The 21304-nt window shown below is 39.0% G+C and overlaps 1 protein-coding gene across 13 annotated transcripts in view; it reads left to right on the top strand.

Moving 5' to 3' along the window:
* CRIM1 (cysteine rich transmembrane BMP regulator 1) overlaps positions 1–21304 on the top strand; it is a 195358-nt gene that overhangs the window by 32409 nt on the left and 141645 nt on the right. For 10 of the 13 annotated variants that reach the window (XR_007076383.1, XM_011532898.4, XM_011532899.4 and 7 more), the window contains one exon: positions 8428–8601. The exons of the other annotated variants lie outside the window; for them this stretch is intronic. Coding sequence is in view for 9 of the 10 variants with exons in the window: in XM_011532898.4 (XP_011531200.1) it covers positions 8428–8601 (174 nt within the window). In the remaining variant the exon portion in view is untranslated. The remainder of the gene's footprint in view (positions 1–8427; positions 8602–21304) is intronic. 13 annotated transcript variants of the gene reach the window in all.

Consider the following 21304-nt stretch of genomic DNA (forward strand, 5'->3'; position numbering starts at 1 on the left):
AGTTCATAGCCAATCCTGTTTTATTAAACGAGATTTACTGAGACCTCAGCTAGTAAATCCTCTAAGAATGGAGATACTGGAAAGGTCCTGGAAAGTGATATTTATTACATTAAAAGACCTTTGGCTTGCCTTACTCTACATAGTGACTTTGTTTTCAAAACAAAGTCTAATTGGTCTGATAATGGAACATTATTTTAAATTTAAATTATGACTGCCATAGGCATATGATTCTCTGGCACTGTCCCCAATAAATTGTTAGCATTGTACAATTTCAATAAAGATGCTAGAATCAAACACAAGGATAAAGTCTAAAGGGGCCTCATGGATTATCCATTCTATGTCCTTTTTGTAATTAAAAAATTGGAGCTTAGAGAGCTAAATGCCTTGTTTGGGGTCCTGCCGTGAATGAGTGACAGAGCTAAGGTTGTGGTCTCCTGGGCCAAGGTCCTCTCCATTACACCATCCCCCTCTGGGCTGTTTCTTCGTATGCAGTTTAAGATGGCCCCTAGGTTAGGCAGAACTGTGAAGTAGGAGAGTTGTGTCCCGTAGCCCCAATTTCTCCTGTCCTTATCATTTCTTGTTTCATGAAACATGAAACATGAAACTGGTGCTTCTCTGTTAGTTGTATTGCTGAGGTGTATGATGAAAAGTACAGCAATGGGACATATACTTAATAACAAATATTTTGCTGTAAGTTGATTTATTATATTGGATCAGTACTGCTTGTTTTTCAGTGATTTCCTCACTTGGACATAATACAAATCAGTGTTCTTGTTGTTTGTTATACATTTAGACATTTACATCAGTTTAAAAGTTAGTCTTCAACAAATATTTGTGTCCACACTTTAGTATTCCATTGTTTGAAAGATTCAGGCTTTGTCCACTCTGGTTTATAGTTACATATGCTTAAAATTTTTTCACTTTGTGGAAATGTCTGTAAAATACATTTTTGTAACATGAATCATTTCTACTGATAACCATAAATTTGCCCTTCCTGCTTTGCACTGATTGCGGCACAAGGAAGAGAAAGAGAAGGAAGCACCAGCTTTGGGAACATAGGCCTTAAGCTTGAAGCAGAGAGAATGAAAGCAGACTGTATTAGATTCCTCCTCGAGCAGAACGGAATGCCTGATAACAGCCAGCCAGGAGCTGGGGGAGTTAAGAGCAGCGATTTTACATTACACTGGAGTTTTTAGGCTGGCATGAAAAGAGATGCCAGTATTAGCTATTTGCATCTTCCTGTAGCCACAGGGATATGTGAACAGCTGGAGAATTAATTTGATATATATTCCCAGGAGCTTCTCTTCTGCCAACAGAATTCCATTACTGTGAGCTTCTGCGTGTGTACTGTGAATTTGTTTCTTGCTTTTTAATATCTGCTATAGCATATTTCTGGTAAGTGGATTGCCATATAATAGGATGCAGCCATCTCTTGGTTTGGAGTAAACTCTATTAACCTAAACAGATACAAGGTGGAAAAGGTAAGAATCTGAGCATACAAATGCCTTCCACCTTCAGGCTGGCAGAAATTTCATGTGAACACACAGTACTTTGTCCAGTACGTGCACTCATACCTGAAATGTTTTGTTTCATGTTAGTGGAATTTCACACACCAGCAAGCAGATGGAAAGATATGTTGAAGAGCATAGAGGTTGAATCCAGGACCACTCAGGCTAGTGTTGCCACAGCTCGTTCCTGTAGCTCCTTAGCACAGGGGGCTATATCTGCTGGAGCTGCTTCTTCACATATCTGGTGTTCGTTATGCCTCCACACATCTTGTAAGAGGCCTCATGCTTCATATCCTTCTCAGTGCCCACTTTCCTGCCCTCAGGATGGAAACTTCTCTCCAACTAGCCTTTGCATTGAAAATCTTTCATGTCAAATGTAGAAGGAAAGAATTTCAGGCATCACCGAGAATATTGAAAGATATTCTTAGAGGAGAAAGACTAAGTCCAGGACAAGACTGAATGTAGCTATTGGAAGTACAGGTGTTTCCTGCCTTGGCAATATAAGTTGTTCACTCTTATAAAGCAAATAAAAAAACCTACTCATATTCTGCAAAATCATTCATTACACTAAAAATAAGAGAGCTGTTGGGAAAAAATAGGGTTGGGGAAGGTCACTCAAGACCTATGCATCTGTGTGTATAGAGGATAAATGCAAACAATAAGAACTCAAATAAAAATACTGGCCCAGGTGAGCTGTCCCTGGCATTTATTTGCACCTGGATCTCTGGTAGCCCATGCTTTGCAGCCCTCCACACTCCGAAGCTCATTCTGCCTCCTTTCAGGGCACGGGGTGTTGAAGATACTTACTTTTCATGTGGAACGGTGTTACCAGAATTAAACATAACATCCAGTAGTTTCTTCATCATTGTTTTTATGGGGGTTTTTTGTTTGTTTGTTTGTTTTGTTTTGTTTTTAGTACAGGGGCAAGTGTCTCCAGCCTTCTCATTTCTGCTTGCAGTTTCCCCAGATAGTTTAATACAGAGGACATTTTAACCACGAGAGCAGTCATTTCTTGCACTAAAGAAAGGAATTTAAGCAAAATTTTCAGCCTTTTCTTCAGGTCTTCCATATACTGGTAAGACTTAACTGTGAGAAAACTTGCTCCTGATACTTATTTTTATTTATTTATTTTTTTGACAGAGTCTTGCTCTGTCGCCCAGGCTCAAGTGCAGTGGTGCGATTTTGGCTCACTGCAACCTCCACCTCCCAGGTTCAAGCAATTCTCATGCCTCAGCCTCCCAATTAGCTGGGATTACAGGCATGCGCCACCATACCCGGCTAATTTTTGTGTTTTTTGTAGAGACAGGGTTTCGTCATGTTGCCCAGGCTGGTCTTGAACTCCTGGGGTGAAGTCATCTGCCTTTCTTAGTCTCCCAAAGTGCTGGGATTACAGGTGTGAGCCATTGCGCCTGGCCAACTTTTGATTTTTTTTTTTTTTTTTTTTTTTTTTTTTGAGTTGGAGTCTTGCTCTGTCACCCAGGCTGGAGTGCAGTGACATGATCTGGGCTCACTGCAAGCTCCGCCTCTGGGTTCATGACATTCTCCTGCCTCAGCCTCCCGAGAAGCTGGGACTACAGGCGCCCGCCACCACGCCAGCTAATTTTTTTGTATTTTTAGTGGAGATGGGGTTTCACCGTGTTAGCCAGGATGGTCTCGATCTCCTGACCTCGTGATCCGCCCATCTCGGCTTCCCAAAGTGCTGAGATTACAAGCGTGAGCCACCGCGCCCGGCCCACTTTTGATTTTTTTAGAACATTAATGTGCTGGGAAAAATCACATGAGAACCAGCAGAACCGCTGTATTATACTGACACCATTTTCCTATTTACCAGTTACATATTGGCTAAATCACATTAAAGAAACATTCATTTTTATGGTTCCACGGTAACTGTTAGAAGAGGTACCCAGCATTCTTTTGTTATTCCTTGGCCTAGGTGTACCTGCAGGACATGCTCTTTAGAACAGCAGTTCTCAAAGTGTGGGCTACAGACCGCTTAGAAGCCTGAAGCCCTTTTTGGGTGGTAAATCAGGTCAAAACTAATTCCATAATCCTATTAACATTTTATTTGCTTTTTTTTCTTTTTCCACTTTGCACTAATGGTGCAAAAAAAAAAAAAAATGGTACATAAAACTCCTGATACTTTAGTATGAATAGAGGTTGTGGCACCAAATTGTGCTAGTAAGTTACTGTATTCACCGTGTACTTTCAGTAAAGCAAAATGGTAAGGAATTAAAATAATAAAATAAAAATTAGTTTCCTTGAATGCCCTTGATCGAAGCAATACAAATTATTAAGTTTATTACATTTCAGCCCTCAATTATACATCTTATTAATGTTCTGTGGGATGAAATGGGAAATACACATAAAGTAATTCTGCTGCATACTGAAGTACAGAGCTTGTCATGAGAAAAAGTGTTATATTTCAAGATGTCTTCTGAACATCCAAGTGGAAGTGTTGGTTTAGCAGTTTAATATACCTGGCACTTCACTGTAGTACTCAATATTGGACATATTTGAACATATATGAATTTGAATATATTTATGAAATTAGGTTTCTCTCTTTTATACTTAGAGAAAGTAACTTATGTAATATCCTAATTTGGTATCTTGCAGAAATTATAAACTTAAAAATACATTTGCAGAGGTACCTCAGTTGTCTTCACCTTTCAGGCTAGGAGACTACATCTTGTCACATTTAGGGTACCAGGAAAAAACCTACTTCATATAGTTAAAAACCAGTACCTCTGTTTTTAACTTTTTTTTTTTCCTGACCAGTCCAAGGAGAAACCAGGAGCTATGTTAGAGAATCAGAACCTTGATTCTTGTGCTGTGTATGTGGATTTACTTAGGAAAAGAGAGATTTTAAAACATAATTTGCCAACTGCTGTTAGCAGAACTCTTGGGCTCAGATTTGATTTCCATAATCCAACCTCATTACATTTTTGCTTTCAGTCCTTGTTGATTTTGTTAAATTATTTTAAAATATAGTGTTCTGTAATTGAATACCAGAAAAGCATTTGTCTCAGTAGCATGTTGTACTTGATCCTATGAAGCGGTGGTTGCTAGGGAAACCATTTCCCAAGAAGAAAAACAAAGTATTGATTAGGAGCGGGCAGAGAATTGAAAGAGTTTACTCTCAAAAAAAAGAAAATAAAAGTGTCTACGATGTTGTTAGCTTTAGAGTCAGTGATGCTTCCTGGCTGAACATAGTGGCAGCAATGTTTCTGAGGGGAATGGTCACCTTTACCTGAGCATCTTCAGGTGAGTCTGCTGCTGCTGCCAGGAAACTTCTGCTGAGAAAGCAGCAGAAAACAGCAAGGGGCCAGCGGCCTCATCAAAGGCCTTTTAGCTGTGATTCCAGATTTGAGGGAAATGGTCTTCCTGTGGGGAGGCAGAGAAAAGCATCTGGCAGTGAAAACCAATTAGCTGTGAGATGGGCTGCTTGGAAGGACTGTTGATGCCAGCCAGGTGATAAGAAGTTGAAGTCTTAGAGCTGAACGGGGGGAAGAGAGTAATGATAGATGATGCCTAGTGAGAAATGTGCCCAGTATTCCAAGCATTTCTTTGAAATGTGTGCCTCATACAGTGCTGTAATGATAAGCTTTTAAAATAGGATTTGTATTGTTTAAACATGTTCTTTATATTATCTTGAAACATAGTTTTCCTTGTGATGTTTTGTATATATGTGTGTGTATATATGTATACACACACACATTTTTTAATTAGACACTTTTTTTGTTAAAGACACAACTGCATTGACCATACCAGTGACATATATGTGTGTCTATATACACATATATGTATAATACATATATATACATGTGTGTATATATGCATATGTGAGGCTTCTTTGTCTACCGGGGAATTATGGCTTACATAAAACCACTATGGTAGGGGACAACAGGTCTGTGCAGATGTTTGCGGGAGCATAGAGGATGGAGCAGCTTATTCTCCTGGGGCAGGTAGAGAAGGCTTCTCAAAAGAGGTAACATCTGAGCTAGGTTTTGAAGGATGAGCAGGAGATAGCAGAGGAAGAAGGGAAGGAGGTATTCCAGGTGGACGACACTCCCGAGTAAAGCATGGGAGCAGTTCCTGCGTGTTTCTGGTAAGAGCCTCAAGTGTGCCTAGAGCATTAGGATGTGAGAGCGACTGGTGAAAAATGAGTCTGCAGAAGTAGCTACAAGCCATGCCATGAAGAAGCTGATATTCAGCAGTAAGAAGCTGGGACATTTTCTTATTGCCAAGAGAGAATTACTGGGCAGGTTTGTTTTTTGAGGAAGATGGATCTGGGGACATTGTGGGGAATGAGGTGGAGAGACAAGAGAATAGTGGCAGGGAGCCAGGTTAGAAGACATTGTGGTAATTCAGGAGAGTGGTGTCTTCAGGGAGTTCCAGTTAGAATGGTGGGAAGGGATGTTTACTGTGGAAAAAATTCTGCAATAGGATCAACTCAATAACTGCACATATTTATAAGAACAGTAATAAAGATTTCCTCTTAAAACTGTGAAGGAAAGGAGGACAAATATACATGGCTTCCAGTAGTTCAAATGTTACTTGAATTTCTTACAAGTTTTTTTTAATTCCTAGGGCTAAACTGCCTTTCAGTTATAAATTTGCATATGTAGTCACAAAAATTCCTTCATGGCAAATCTGACTGAACTGTAGTAAAATGCTAGTACTACTGGCATGTTAACAGTTAAACAGATAAGAAATCACTTGGATGCACATTTTGTTATAACTGAAGACAAATATCACCTTCTTTTCTATGTTGAATTTTTTCAATATGGTGTTTTTCTTCTTTTTCTGATTTTCCTTTCAGAGTACTTTACTAATTTCATTGTTGTCTTGAAGATAGGAATGTACCTTTATGTGTCTATGTTATATTTGTGTGTGTGTGTATGTTGCTTCTCTCTGTCTATATATATAAAACATATATATATATCTTATATATGTATGTTGTTTCTCAGAACCAAATTTAGGCTAAATAGGAGAACAGATTTTAAATAAAACATAAATTGTGTGTCGGTATAAACTTCAAATCTGAAAGATAATCATTTTACTAAAAGCTGAGGCTTTGATCAAATAAGTGAGCCTGATCTCCTGAAATCTAAAACAAGAGATTTTCTATTCTCCCTTTTCAAAGGACCGCCCTGAAGCTCTTTATGTAGTAGATGACATTCTTGTAACGACCTCTTGATGAGAAAATTATTTATTTCAGTCAGGAAGAGCAGACTTTTACTTCACTTACGTACTGAGCAATGATGCCAGCAATAAAAGCTTACCCTATAAAAATAAGAGCCATTTGTTTGTACTGTCTTTTTTTTTTTTTTTTTTTTTTGAGGCGGAGTTTCACTTTGTTGCCCAGGCTGGAGTGCAGTGGCATGATCTTGGCTGACGACAACCTCTGCTTCTCTGTTTCAAACAATTATCCCCCTTCAGCCTCCTGAGTAACTGGGACCACAGGCATGCGCCACCATGTCCAGCTAATTTTTGTATTTTTAATGGAGATGGGGTTTCACCATGTTGGCCAGGCTGATGGCCAGGTGATCTGCCTGTCTTGGCCTCCCAAAACGCTGGGATTACAGGCATGAGCCACCACTCCCAGCCAAAAACAGATTTTTAAGATGGCATTTATACCTGCCTTAGTTTGAGCAAGAGGTTTAAGGTTTCTTAAATTCAGGTACTTTAAAAAATTCTCTTCAGATATGCTTATCAGAAACATGTTTACTATGTAACAGTCAGTTCCCATTTCAGGTGGGTAAAGTATCTGTTAAAGATAATGTTAAGTGTGAAAAAACCCCATATAATGGCCCAAGGATTCACAGAGAGAAATAGTCTAATTTCCTATGAGGAATATTATGAAGAATTGAGCCTGCATATGATTCTGTCATATTCATTGCATTTTTTGGAGCTGAGTCCCATGATAGCTCTTTTTAAAATCGACCTTATTTATTGTGACCTGCTCCATTCCATGATCAGAACCTGATTTGGTCTCAGCCTTTGTATTCAGTTACCTCAGCCTGTCACTAAGCTGCACCACTTTAGTTTTTTTGTTGTTTCTGGCTTTGGGTTGGCAGTGATGGATACTATCAGTCTCCCCAAACGCATTAGAGGGGATCCCCTCCATTGTAACTCTTTTGGTGGTGTCTGATTTTTGATGTTGATTATTAGCTGCCTTAATGTAGTAAGTTGAAGAGCTGTTTTAAACCTGAAGTTGGTCTCTATCAATAGAGTAAAAAATTAGCTTTTTAAAGAGAGTCTCACCCTGTTTCCCAGACCGGAATGCAGTGGCGTGATCAACCTCGTGGGCTCAAGTGATCCTCCCACCTCAAACTCCTGAGTGCTGGGACCACAGGCATGCACAACCATTCCCAGCTAATTTTTTGTTTTGTTTTTGTAGAGACTGGGTCTCACTGTGTTGCCCAGGCTGGTCATGAACTCCTGGGCTCAAGTAATCCCCGTGCCTTGGTCTCTGAAAGTGTTGGGATTACAGGCATGAGCCACTGTGCCTGGCCAAAAAAGAGCTCTTTAAAAAATAATTTTGTAGATTGACAAATGTGACTCTTGTAATTTTATTGAACATGAAAAAACCCAGGAATCTTTATTTGATATTAAACATTTTTAAAGGCATCTCAGTTGTTGTTGTAATAACACATTAAGAGAAGTAGTGGTTTTTTATTTCCAACCTTTGTGCATATAGCTATTTAATGCCTACATGGATGGCTATTATTTCACTTTTTTCAGTTATTATGAAGAGATTGGGTTTCATTCATTTGTAAAGTTTCAGCCAGACTGCCTTTCACAAATTGATTTGTCAAAATTGAATGTTAATCTTGACATCCCAGTGCGTTTTTGCCCGCGAACAGGCCTTTGAATGAAGCTGCAAACACACATTATCTGGTTGTTAATTGTTTTACAGATGAGAACTGGACTGATGACCAACTGCTTGGTTTTAAACCATGCAATGAAAACCTTATTGCTGGCTGCAATATAATCAATGGGAAATGTGAATGTAACACCATTCGAACCTGCAGCAATCCCTTTGAGTTTCCAAGTCAGGATATGTGCCTTTCAGCTTTAAAGAGAATTGAAGGTAAGCATTAATTTTTGTTAACCATCCAGTCGTAAGCCTTAGCATTATGTAACCCTGAGTAGTAATAGTATTTGAGCTTGAAAAGGCAAAGACAAGTTTACAGAGAGTGGTAGTTTGTATAATCCCAACTAAGATGCATAAAGTTTACCAGGTGCTTATGTGGTGGGTGTGTTTCCGAGACGCTATGGAATGGCGGTGCTGTGGTGGTGTGAGCAGGGCCCTCTGTGCCAGCCCTCCTAGGCCACCTCTGCATAATGGATGATTTCACAAGCGGTGTGCTTGAGATCAGCATCTGTTGTCACCAGGTCCATTCTGTTTGATTTACCGTAGGATGGTGCTCCATGAGGAGTCTGCTAATTAGAAATGCGGCTCATCTGGCATGAAAGAGTTATCTCTTTAGCAGAAATGGGAGAATTATGCAGTGATGATTGAAGGCTTAGGTTGGTTTTGCTGGAGGGCAGGAATCACATAGGGCGTGGAGGGATCATTAGGCTCTTCACCTCTGGAGATAAGTCAGAAATTGCATTCAAGTAACAAGAAAATTATACTGATATGGCTCATAACTTTTGTACATTCATACATACAACCAAGAAAAAACTTCAAGAAATTGAATATATGACTCATCACCACAGTAATCTTGAGTGAAGTACCCAGAGCTTGGTGCCATGGCTCATAGCCAAAAGGGGTAAAGCCTGGGTTTGGGTCTCAGCTCTGCCGCTAACCAGCATTAAACTCTCGTAGCCCCAGTTTCTTCTTGAGGGAAAAAAGTACTGAAAGAGGCATTCTTAAATATACCTCTTATCTCTAAAATGATGTCGTTGTAAGATGGAGTGATTGGTAATATAATACCAAGGATTCTTAAAGTCCAAAAATCAAGCTTATAAGGGCAGTAAAGCAGGACTGAAGTTTTGGAAATGTACTTAGTTTCCAAGTTATATTAAATGGTAAGGAAGAAGAAATTTGCAGTAGCCTACAAAATAACATTTCTCTTTGTATTTACCAGTGCTCCTGAATCATTAGAAAAGAATAGAGTAGAAAACAATAGAAATAACATTTGCGAATTGCAGAGGATCCTAGAGAACATTTAGTCCAGTCCTTGAACTTGAACACTGGGAAACTGAGTTTCCACGCATTTGATGAGTATCAGTGCTAGTACTAATCACACCAAGTATTCTTCCTGTCACATCATGACTTAAACAATGCCATGGGTTACCTAACTCATTTCTGTTGTTCGGTTGCCCTTTGCTCCCCACACCCATTGCCTGCCACAAAAGGGTATTTTGCCAACTTCAGTATGTAAACATTTAGGGATATAGATGACGTGATCACATGTCTGTTTACATAGTTAATAATTTACGCATACACATTTAAACTTACTCATATAAAGTCATACACAATTTAGAATCATTACTTTTTGCTATTCTTACATTTCAGGAAGCTGTCCTAAATGGTGAGTGCGTCACCATTGCTGTCATTGTCTCTACTCAGGCCCCCTTCCAGGTCATTTAATCCCCTGCTCCTGAACATGCCCTCTTCACTGCCACCTAAGTTGTTTGAGATGCAGCAGATTTTGAATCTAAGGATGATGCTATCCCAGGAAGTTTTGTCCCAAAACCCAGTGTCTCGTCACATAAAATTAGGACAATTGCATTTGTAATTAGTTAGGCGTGTATTTATGATCTTTGCAATGTGGAGATTGACATGTGGAGATTAACTTTATTGATTTTTAAAGTGATTCTAAAAAGGCTGTTTGTGAGATCCAGCATTTCCAATTTTGAGATCATTCCCACAGGAATAATTACCGTATCTGATTGAATTTCTTTACTTGTTATTTTCCAACTTATTATTTCAGATGGCTTCTATGTAATCCAAATGTGGAATTAGTTGAGGTCATTTAAGGTTAATGTATCTTCTACAAACAGTGCTTTGTTATTCAAAATAAAGTACCAGGCAGTATGTGAGATCTTGTAAGAAGTCAGGATTAGGGGATTTCCCTTTTCTGAGAAGGAATTTTGAAGGAAAAAGCATACTTATATTCAGGTATATATTGTATATGAAAGAATTAGTGATGAAATCATACTTAATAAATAGTCACGTCGTTAATAGTGACAGAGACTTGGAATGCTATAGGACCTCAATGCCAAGAAAGTATGATTTGGAATTGTGTGATAAGGTATCATGGAGGGTAGACTGAACGATTTAGAATAGTGATGATGATAGATTTCAGAAGTGAGGCCAACATGGACGAAAGAAGAAAATGTGGAAGTGGGAATCTGCATGACTTACATGGAATACACTTGGGAAACTGGTCTGAAAGAGCAGAGTTTTATGTTGGTGGACAATAGGAAATAAAGATTGGAGGGAGGATAGGACCAGATTATGAAATGTCTTAAACATTGTGCAACAAGCTTAAGCCGGGTAATATGAGCAATCAGAAATCATTATAGGTTTATGAACAGACAGAATCAGAAAGAAGATGGTGAAGTCAACATTAGGCAGACTTTGGTTGTGGTGGAATGCAAACTGGATTAGCAGAGGGAGATAATGGCAGTCAAGAGGCTCGTTGGAGAGCTTTTCAGCTGTTTAGATGTGTTACCACAAGAAACTGGACTAGAGTGGCAGCAGGAAAACAGCAAAGAAGAGATGGATATGCACCATTTTGATGGAAGAACCTACGGTATCTGCTAGCAGGAAAGGGAAGGATGAAAATTACACAAAGATGATTCTAGGGTTTCTAACCTGAAATAGAATGATAGTGCAAGTAATAGAAGTAGGAAGACTTTTGAGGAGTCTCGTGATAAAATGGTACTGAAAATAGGGGTAATTATTTTAGGGCAATGTAGAGGTCAAGAAGAGCTTAAGAAAATATAGGAGATACTACAGCATGTTTGGATCATGACCGGAATGATTTAGTAAGAAGGAAAAGCCAATAATGTAAGAAAGGCGATTGCAGGAGCAAAGACTTTAAGGAATAAAAAGGACAAAATTGTTTGTTTCTCAGGGAAGTATAAAAGAAGGTCATCATCTGACATTGAGATGGAAGAAAGGGTGTGGAAAATCAAAGAGAAAGAGGAAAATGTAAACAGACATCTTTAAAGGAGAGGACAAATGAATTAACTAGGGAAATGTAGTAGGGTCACCTACTGGTGCTGACAGCTTACTTGAGGTTAGTGGTTATGCCTTTGAAAAGAGGCTGGCCAGCACAGTTGCGTGATTTTCTCTAGTTCTTATGTAGGTGTGCAGTTTAGGTAGAGAGGTAGCCGGTTGGGTATTTTCTTGACCATTCTGGTAGAAAGAGAGAGAGGGAGTCATGGGGATTGATGATTATATAAGAGAACTTTATGGTGATTGACCATTTAATCTACACTGAGAAGGAGACAAAATCAGGGAGTCAGTGATATGGAGAGTAGAGGGGAGGTTCTAGTGGGATTGAAGAATTAATGGAGTGAGATAGCTAAGGAAGCAAGTAGAAATGAATACTTGAAGAGAAAGTTATTATTGGTTGTAATGAGGGTTAGAAATTACTATGGATGATGTAGTTGATTGAAGAGGGGTGAAGAACAACATCACTGGGGGTGGGAGGTCAGATAGGTGAGTCAGGATGGAGTGCCTCTACCAATGATGAAGATGCCAAGGAATAGTAGCAGGGAAGAGACATGGAGCCAGAGGTTCTGCAGGTAAATGCCACACCTCCGTGTGGCTGGTGATAACCTAATTGCTTATGCTTCAAGTGGAGAAAGTTTTATTTTTTAAAGGGGAAAAGGAAGAATGATCTTTAAGTAGCAGTGAGAACAAAGAGGATACCTATGCCCCTTCCAGGATTTATGGAATGTGGGAGATAAAGCCATTCCCATTTGAGAAGACTTCAAGGGAAAAAGAGTAATCAGGTACTACCTAGGTTTCAATTTACACAAGAAGGTGAAGGGAACATCCAGATGGAAGAATGAGGGCAGAAAGAATTTTGTTGATAAGCTCTAGAAGGCACAGAATGGGATTTGGGAGGGAGGCTTGTACAGGGCATGGGTGATTTTGCAAAGCCAGGAGGGGTTAAGAGTGCAGTGATGATGGATGACCTGGCGAATTTAGACTTGCTCTCGAATCTCTTACAGGAAGGTGAATAGTCTAGTTAAAGCCTCCTTTTAGGGACTCTTCTTTGAGTAGTTTATAGTATTAAGGGTGTGCAGTGGTGGGGATAGGGCAAGCAGAATGGTATTCTTGGCAGAGCATAATGAGAAAACATGGGTCTCCATTTCTGTGTTTTTGGTGGTGATGCTGAAAATGAATTCGAAATGTTGCTATAACATTTTTTAAAACGTGTGGAAGTCATTGCAGGCCATTTCAATGTTATAGACTTATGGAGAATACTGGAAATTTCTGGGCATTGAAAAAGTTCCTGTGTATTACTTATGTTTGTTTAAAAGGAGTTGGTCCTCAATTTTACTCAGTGTTTTCTTTTCTAAAATACTTGAACATATCACCATAAAATCAGTTTGTTAAAAATATAAAGGAAATAGGATACTGGATAACAGTCAGCCGTGGCTTAGTGCAGAATAGTTTGTCAGAGTGATCTGTATTTTCTAAGGAAGAAGTCTGATAAAGGGAATGACCTGCAAGTTATCCCACCTTGATCTTAACAAAGTTTATGCTTCCGTGCCTTACTACTTATTCATCAGTGATTTGGGATATGTTAGACTGAGCACCACAAAAGTTAAATTAGTGCACCATGGGCACATCAGTTTGATGCAGTAGTAAAAGCAGTGCCAGCCTCTATAGCGCCAGCCTCTGCAGCTGCCACAGGTGTGTTCTAGGGGTCTCTCTGGGCTCAGTGGTCATAAGTAATGTCAATACCAAAGGTTTCCATGATGCAGTGAATAAGTTGAACTTTTAAGTTTGCCTATAATTCCAAGTTGGGTACATGGCTTTTAAAAAAATTATTGTAATTCAGTGGTCATAATTCAAGAATTAATCAGAAATGTGAAACCATGCCACATTTGGTGAAGAATATAAAACACCCTGGAAATCATTCATCTGTTTATTTCATCCAGCAAGTATTTATGAAATGCCAGATACATACGTGACACTGTTGTAGTTGTTGAGGATACAGCTCTCATGGAGCTTAACTCCAAAGGGGGACTTGGACTGAAGTCCTGCCACCGGAACTCTAGCATGGAGACACTTTCAGCTGTAGCAAGAAACCTTCTGCCATCCCCTAAGTACAGGGAAGACAGAGGCTCCCAGCTCTGTGCCCACCCACATTTTTATACAGGGCTGAAGGTCCATGGGGAGCCTGGGTGTCATGCACCAAGGGTGTCTCCTAGGTTTCTCAAACTTGAGAGAGCCTGATGGTCACACAGGCAGTAAATACATAAATAAACAAGAAAATAGCATATGGTATGATAAAAGCTTTGGAAAACAGTAACCAGTATGCTGTGATAGAGAATTACTTGGAAAATTGCTGTATTCAGGGACCTCAGGGACATATTCTATGAAGGAAGGGCAGTCCAAACTGAAATCTCAAAGCCCAAAGGAGTTTGCCTTATGATGACCTGAGGAGAGAGAATTCCATATGGACGGAACAGCAACTGCAAAAGCTCTAAGGAGAGAACAAGCTTGGTGTGTTGAAGGACTAGCAAGAAGAAACAGCGTGACCAGAATGGGGGGGAGGGAGGGGTAAGGGCCAGACCACCTGAGCCCTTGTAGAAGATGATGAGATGTATGGATTTTGTGATGAGTACACAGGAAAGCCATTAAAGGATTGTGAGCAAAGGTTTGACATGATTTGTCTTTTAAAAGATGAATATGGTGGAAAAAGAGACTGGTTGGGGTAGGGAGATGTAAGAGTATGAACAGAGCTGGCTGGTAGGGGTTCTTTTAGTAGTTCATGTAAGAGATAATGGGGACTCGTACCTGAGAGCTGGAGATGAAGAGAATTAGGTGCATTCGAGATACCATTGGAAATAGAATTAGCAGGAGTTGTTAATATGGATGTTGAGGGAAAGAGAAATCAAAGAGTACTCTTCGATGTGGAGTTTAAGCAAATTGTAGTGCCCTTTACTAGAGGGAGGACCAGATTTAGGAAGGACCCAGGAGTTTTGGGCAAATTAAATTTGACATCCACATAGAACTATTTGTCACAAGCAATTTTTAAATGTAATTCAGTAACTCATTAAGTAGAATTCATACATACATGCTCTATGGTGTATAATTACAAAGAGATATCCCTGAGAAAAGTCAAATCTCTCCAGAAAAAGTTATAACCTCATCAGGAGTTTGTATAGAAAAATAAGAATAACCTACTTTGCAGTGATTTATCACCAGGCAGAAACTGGCTGAAGAGGTGTCTGTGTTATCCATAAAATGTGTTTTCATCATTGCTGCATCACACATCACATGGGTTAGATTGGTGTAGAATATGTGGAACCTAGTGCTGCTTGCACAGTGAACATTTTGCAAAAGGAGGAAGACACTTAGGGCTTTAGATAATTCTCCTCTGTTTTAGCTGAAAACGTTTGGAGAACGTTGAATGGTTTATGATTTTTGGCTGTTTTGAATTATTTCCTCTATATAGAGAAAAAATAGACAATCAAAAATTGGCGTGTGATACTATACATCATTGTTTTATATTGAGTGGACAAATAAGAACCGTGTTGCATTCATAAGATGGATAAATCAAGGAAGGTTTTGTGGAGGAACTAGGAATTGGGTCCAACTCTGAGAAATTTGTTGATTGGCTCAGCAGAAGGGAAGGAGAGTTTAAGAGCAGCCTTGGATAGAAAAGAGAGGACGGACAGAGAGGTACAGATAGGAAGATACTAAGGAGGCCAAATCAGTGGGCTTCAGTGGCTGATTGACTTTCGGGGATGAAGAAAGGGAAGACTTCCAGATTGTGGGAGGACTATTATCAAGATAAATGCTGGAGAGGAGGTGGTCAGGATAGATTTTGGGAGGATGATAGGATATATTGTGGTGTCATTTATTAGAATGTGAAATACAAGGAGAGCAGCTTTGTGGGAGGTTGGATGAGGTAGGTACTCTGTTTGGTTATGTTTGAGGTATCTATGGAGAATCAAGGGGAGGATGAGAGTTACAGGTCTGGAACTCAGAGAGAGATCTGAGCTGGAGATAAGAATTTATGAGTCACCCTCTGAGGGAGACTGTGGTGTCTAATGACTTTTTGAGTACATAAATGATGTGAGGAGTATGAGCATTTTTAGGAAGATTAATGTGACAGTAATGTGCATAATGGAGGAAAAAAGTGACTGGCAATGTTAACACACCAAGAGTGATACCAAGTGTATCTTATACAAAAGGACCCCGTGCAGGGAAGCTGGCACAGGAAGTGACTCCTCTGTTAGCATGGTAGAAGAAAATCCAAGGGTTGCTACTGTTAGCCAAGTGAAAGTCTAAAACACAATTGCCAGTGCCCATGATATTGAGATGTATAAAATGGAATACATTATTTTAATTAATTGTTAATTGATTGGTTGACTAATTTATACTCCCTTGTTCAAAAAAGCCTTTAAAAGTATCTGACTATAGTAGAGCTGGTCAGACCCACACCTGGAATTAGGGCTAGTTCAGAGTAGAAGCACTGAAATGATTAAGTAATTGGATAGAGAGGTCAAGAAATAGGATTATAGTCATAGACTCTTTCAGTCCAGAAGGTACTCAGCATTCTCTACAAGTACCTTCCGAGGCGACCGCTTTCAGTTTAGAGCTGCTTTAATTGTTGATTCATTCATGCATTTATTCATGTATTCATTCAAAAAGAATGTATTGAGCACATGCCATGTGCCACTACACCTCAGATTCACTAGGGCAAATTTAGTTTGCTTTTACCTGAGGACTATTTTCTAAATGACCTAAATTGCAACACATTTTCAATATACTATGGGAGCTTGCTTTGTTTTTTTGTTTTTATATTTTGATTTTACATTGTATGGCTATGTTCTCTGAAATGAAACTAATTTTTACACAAAGACTTCTGTTTTATAGCCTTTTTTCTTTTCATTTTTAAAAGCGCAGATAACAGTTGCCTCAGATCATTAACTTAATTATCCTGTACTCTAAATTTACTATTTCAGTGCTACCTAAGGAAATGGTAATATCATGAGTTTTTTATTCCATTTTTAGTTTTTTACATTTCACTTATTTCACTTCCTTTTTTTCTTTACACAAGTAAAGCGTACGTGCTAAATTTTATTCTCGATTGTTACCTCGTCCTTGGTCTAGAGGCTGTAGTACAACCCTGTGCTGTGTGTGGCCTAATAAAATGTTGTAAATCTTATGTCATCTGTAATGTTTGTCAGTAAACAAATCTTTAGTATTTAGAAAGAAATATTATGCCATTTTTTATTTATATAACTTTTTTTCTCAAAAGCATTTTGGGTATTTTTTATGTGCGTGGGAGAAAATGCTCACAGAAAACACCCAAGTAAATGTGATCTGGTGGAGCTGGGAGTATTAGCATTCATGCCGCCTTTGAAATAGTGCAACAGAATTTCCTCTTAATGTTCCTGCCACTAGAACCGCTTCATGGAGACACTTTTCAGCTGTAGCAAGAAACCTGCTGCCATTGCATAAGTACAGGGAAGACAGAGGCTCCCAGCTCTGCCCCTACCCGCTGTCCCATACGGAGCTGAAGGTCCATGGGGAGCCTGGGTATCATGCACTGAGGGTGTCTCCTAAGTTTCTCAAACTTGAGAGAGCTTGATGGTCACACAGAGAGCTGGCTTAACTAGGACTAGACTAGGGCTAGGGAAATCTGCATTTCCAGCAAGCCCCAGGAGAAGCTGCTGCTGCCCATTTTCACCACAGTTTGAGTAGAAAAGTTATAGAGTGTTTATGTGAATCGACTTCGCTGCACAGAGAAATGGATTTGTTGTGCTGGTGTCAGAGAACATCATATCTTCAAGTAGTCACTGGACCTAATTTTGATTTCCACTACTTCTTTCATTGTTTTTTTAAAAAAGCATATCTTATACATTGCTTTGCTTCAAATGTTAATACATGGTAATGATTTCATTATGCAATTAAAAAATTTTTTTCTCAAGTAAATGTTAAATTAAAAATGAAATATTTCATATTATACAGGACCTCATGGTAAGGGACAAAACAAACCCTGGGACTCGGATGCTGGAAAAATCATTTGCTTTTAATAGAGTTGATCCTTTTCATAGGTTTACCCATTTGGTCTTTGCTAAACTTTACAAATATGTCTAAAACTTTATGTCTATGGATTTTTTTTGGCAATTATATTGATCTCCTGTATGGCATTAAATGCCATTATTTCAAAATATTTCCTAATATGTTATTGACTGTATTAGAAATAATCATTAATTCACAAAATCAGATATACTGAAAATTAAATTATATGTTCTCCAAAAATATAATTGCTGTTTACTATGAGAGTATTATATAGCAGAGTTAAACTAATAAGACAGTCGTTACAAATTATCACCACTGTAATTGTTCCATTGGAGGGAGGATGGAAATGGGTGGGTTTTGTACATTTTATAAGGTTTATGAAGTTTAAGGGAAAGGATTTTGGGGAAAGCTCTTGGCCTTTCCAAACTGCTGTTAATATACTCATTGATAGTGGAATATATGACCTTTGATGGCACTTGGGAAGCTAAAGGAAAAATCAGCTGGGACCTTGATGATAACGAGGTCCCTGACCCACCCGGAAGGTGAGGTTAAATGTGTTTTCCTTTGGTCAAGGGAAGGGAATTCCAGATCCTTTGCTCATGTCAGGAAAAACCTTTGTGGGGGCCAGGACTTAGTGTTTTAAACTTGATAAGTCTTACTAGTTTAACTCTGCTAATATTTGACCCCTCCCCCCCCCCCAAAAAAAAACAAAAAAAGATAACCTCTCAAACTGATTCTCTTACTCGTCCTGAAACCAAGCATTCTGTATTGCAAGGGCCATGCCCTCTTTGCTTCAGGACTTTCATGTGTACAGATTCCTAAATTTTAAGTTACACAGCTGCTTCATCAAACTTACTCATCATAGATTCTAGTTTTCTTAGGCTAGTTACATCTGAAAGTGGTATTATGCTTGTGAATGTGTTGCTTTAGCTCATATAATTTGTTTAAAAAGTTTATTTTAGAGGAATCCAGTTAACACTGCTTATCAAGTTTAGAAACACTAAGTCCTGGCCCCCTCGAAGGTTTTTCCTGACATGAGCAGAGGATCTGGAATTCCCTTCCCTTGACCAAAGGAAAACACGTTTAACCTCACCTTCTGCGTGGGTCAGGGATCTCATTATCATCAAGGTCCCAGCTGATTTTTCCTTTAGCTTCCCAAGTGCCATCAAAGGTACTTGTTTATAAGGCAGTAAGACCATTATGCAACTTTAAATTTTATCCCACTCTGTTTGTAAAGACAATCACAAATTGACAATATTCTTTGTCTTTTCTTTTTTGGAGCATATATACAGAAGCACACACACATATACATATTCGTGTGTATGTATATGTATATCTGTAAACACAGATATGTAAAGTGACTTTAAAATACAAGTACATGTGTTTCATTTTAAATTCTAGCGATGTCATTGGGAAAGAAAGTGTAGACAAAGTTACATATTTTTGTAAGTAGTGTACTTTTATTTACGTTGACAGTTAATATTTAAAAATTTTTTGTTACAGATACAAATTTTGGGGAGAATTGTCCTTAGAAACATGTTTTAAATCGTTGTTCTGATGTCTTGATAACTGGTACCAGGAAAATAAAAGGGTTACCAAAAGGCAGAAACCAGTTTCAAATTATCTGGGAAATAAAAACAGGAAACTCAGGGAACTTGGCCTGAGACCAGTTGGAGAGGAGCAGTTGTTGGTTGAATAATTATACCTGCATTTTAACTGTTGGAAGTCATACAGCGACCTTCTGGTTGTTGTGATTTCTTGTGCCCGTCAAAAAAAAAAAAAAAAAAGGAAGTCACGATTAAATATCTTATGTCCAGTTACCAACAGGAGTGTGAGTGTAAAGGAGCCTCTTTATTCCTACACATTAGGTTACAAAAAGGATTGGTATAAAAAACAAATTTTCCAGTTGACATTTAGAGTGATACTTTCTATACAGTCATCTGTAAACAGCATAATAATGTTCTATACCATTCATTCATGGATTTTTTTTCACCTTCTTCTTTGCTTTAACTCTTAACTCTGAGCTTTGAAGCCATCTCTTCTGTCCAAAGATGTGCCTAGTTCAAGCACTTTTCTGTCCTCTTTCCATACCTAATCCCAGGTTGGTTAAAGGAGCACCAGAAGTTGTAGGTGAGCAGGTTTTGCTACATCTGGGCTTTATTTCAGGATTAAATAGAATGTACTTACTATGTGTTTTTAAAAGAGACTTATTGTTAATATTGCAAGGACAAAAACAACCTGACAGGTTGAGCCAGATAAATGGTGTTCTTGAGGGCCGTGCCTAAAACTTCACCAACCCAGGATGCCTAAAAAATGTTGGTCTAATGACTGACCTTAGCAGGGTGACATGTTCACTGCTGGGGTAGCCCTGAGCACTCCTGCGCGTGTTTGTGGTTTCTGACTTGGCTGTAGGTGACCTCTCAGTTTTTCCCAGGGCTCGGCGTGTGCTCTGTAACACAGAGCTGCTGAGTTGCTGCTTTGCCCAGCTGTGTCCGGCTAAGCCCTGGCCCCCACAAAGGTTTTTCCTGACATGAGAAAGGATCTGGAATCCCAGCCCGGGAGGCCTTCTGAGCTGCTGGCAAAGGATGCTGTGAGTGGAGACCACTCCCCATGGCAGAGCTCCCTTCCCTCTAAGGGGAGCTGGAGCTGTCCCTTCTGTGTCCACAGGGGTTCTCCGCCTCCTGCAGAGCGGAGCTGCAGCCCCAGGCTTGTCTCCATCAACCAGAGGGTTTGCATAAGCAGGAGCTGTCAGGCAATTAAAACCTCGTTAGTTAGTGTAATTAGTATTCCAAGACCATGATCTGGGATTTTGGACAACTCAACCAAGCTGGACAGTTTATATCCTGCTTATGAGAAGAAAAAAAAAAAGTCTGTGCAAGGGAAGTTCAAGAAAGAGTCTGGGAGCATAACCACTTTAGCATAAACTCACAGACAGTCAAAAAAGTGATCATTTCAAATGTTCTTATAATTTTATCACTATAGGTAAGGAATCTCTATTAGACACTGTGTTTTTTCTACTCTCCTGTCTTGCCAGTATTATATATTTACTAGTATCTTGATTAAGAGATCCTCAGAGGGGAAAAAAAAAAAGCTCTTTTAAATAAAGAGAGTTTTAATTAAAAAAGAAAATAATTTGCTAATGGGAGGAAGCAGGGCTGAATGCATACCATCATACGTAAAAATATACCACTAAGCAAAGCCCTACTTTCCTCCAGTTCTTGTTGAAGGTTAATAGAGCTAACCTTACATGAAAATTGTAAAGATTGCCAAATTTGTCTTTTTCCCACTATGCCCTCCCTATTCTTTTAGTTTTTTTCCACCTCAGAAGCCCAGCATCATCTTTCTCTCGTTTCCACCAGTAACTATAATCTAGGAAAAATTTTAAATTTAAATTTACCCTTTTTGATTGGTTGTACCCTAGAGTGTTACCTCTGCCAGCATCCCCACATTTTAATCTTAATTGTGAAATTCATATTGAATTCAATCCAGAAAGAAGGAGCAAGGATTTCTGCAGTCAATGATACCCCTTCCTGACTGAGCCCTGCTCACTTGGGGA

The sequence above is a fragment of the Homo sapiens genome, chromosome 2, assembly GCF_000001405.40.
Source record: "Homo sapiens chromosome 2, GRCh38.p14 Primary Assembly".
NCBI classification, from domain to species: Eukaryota; Metazoa; Chordata; class Mammalia; order Primates; family Hominidae; genus Homo; species Homo sapiens.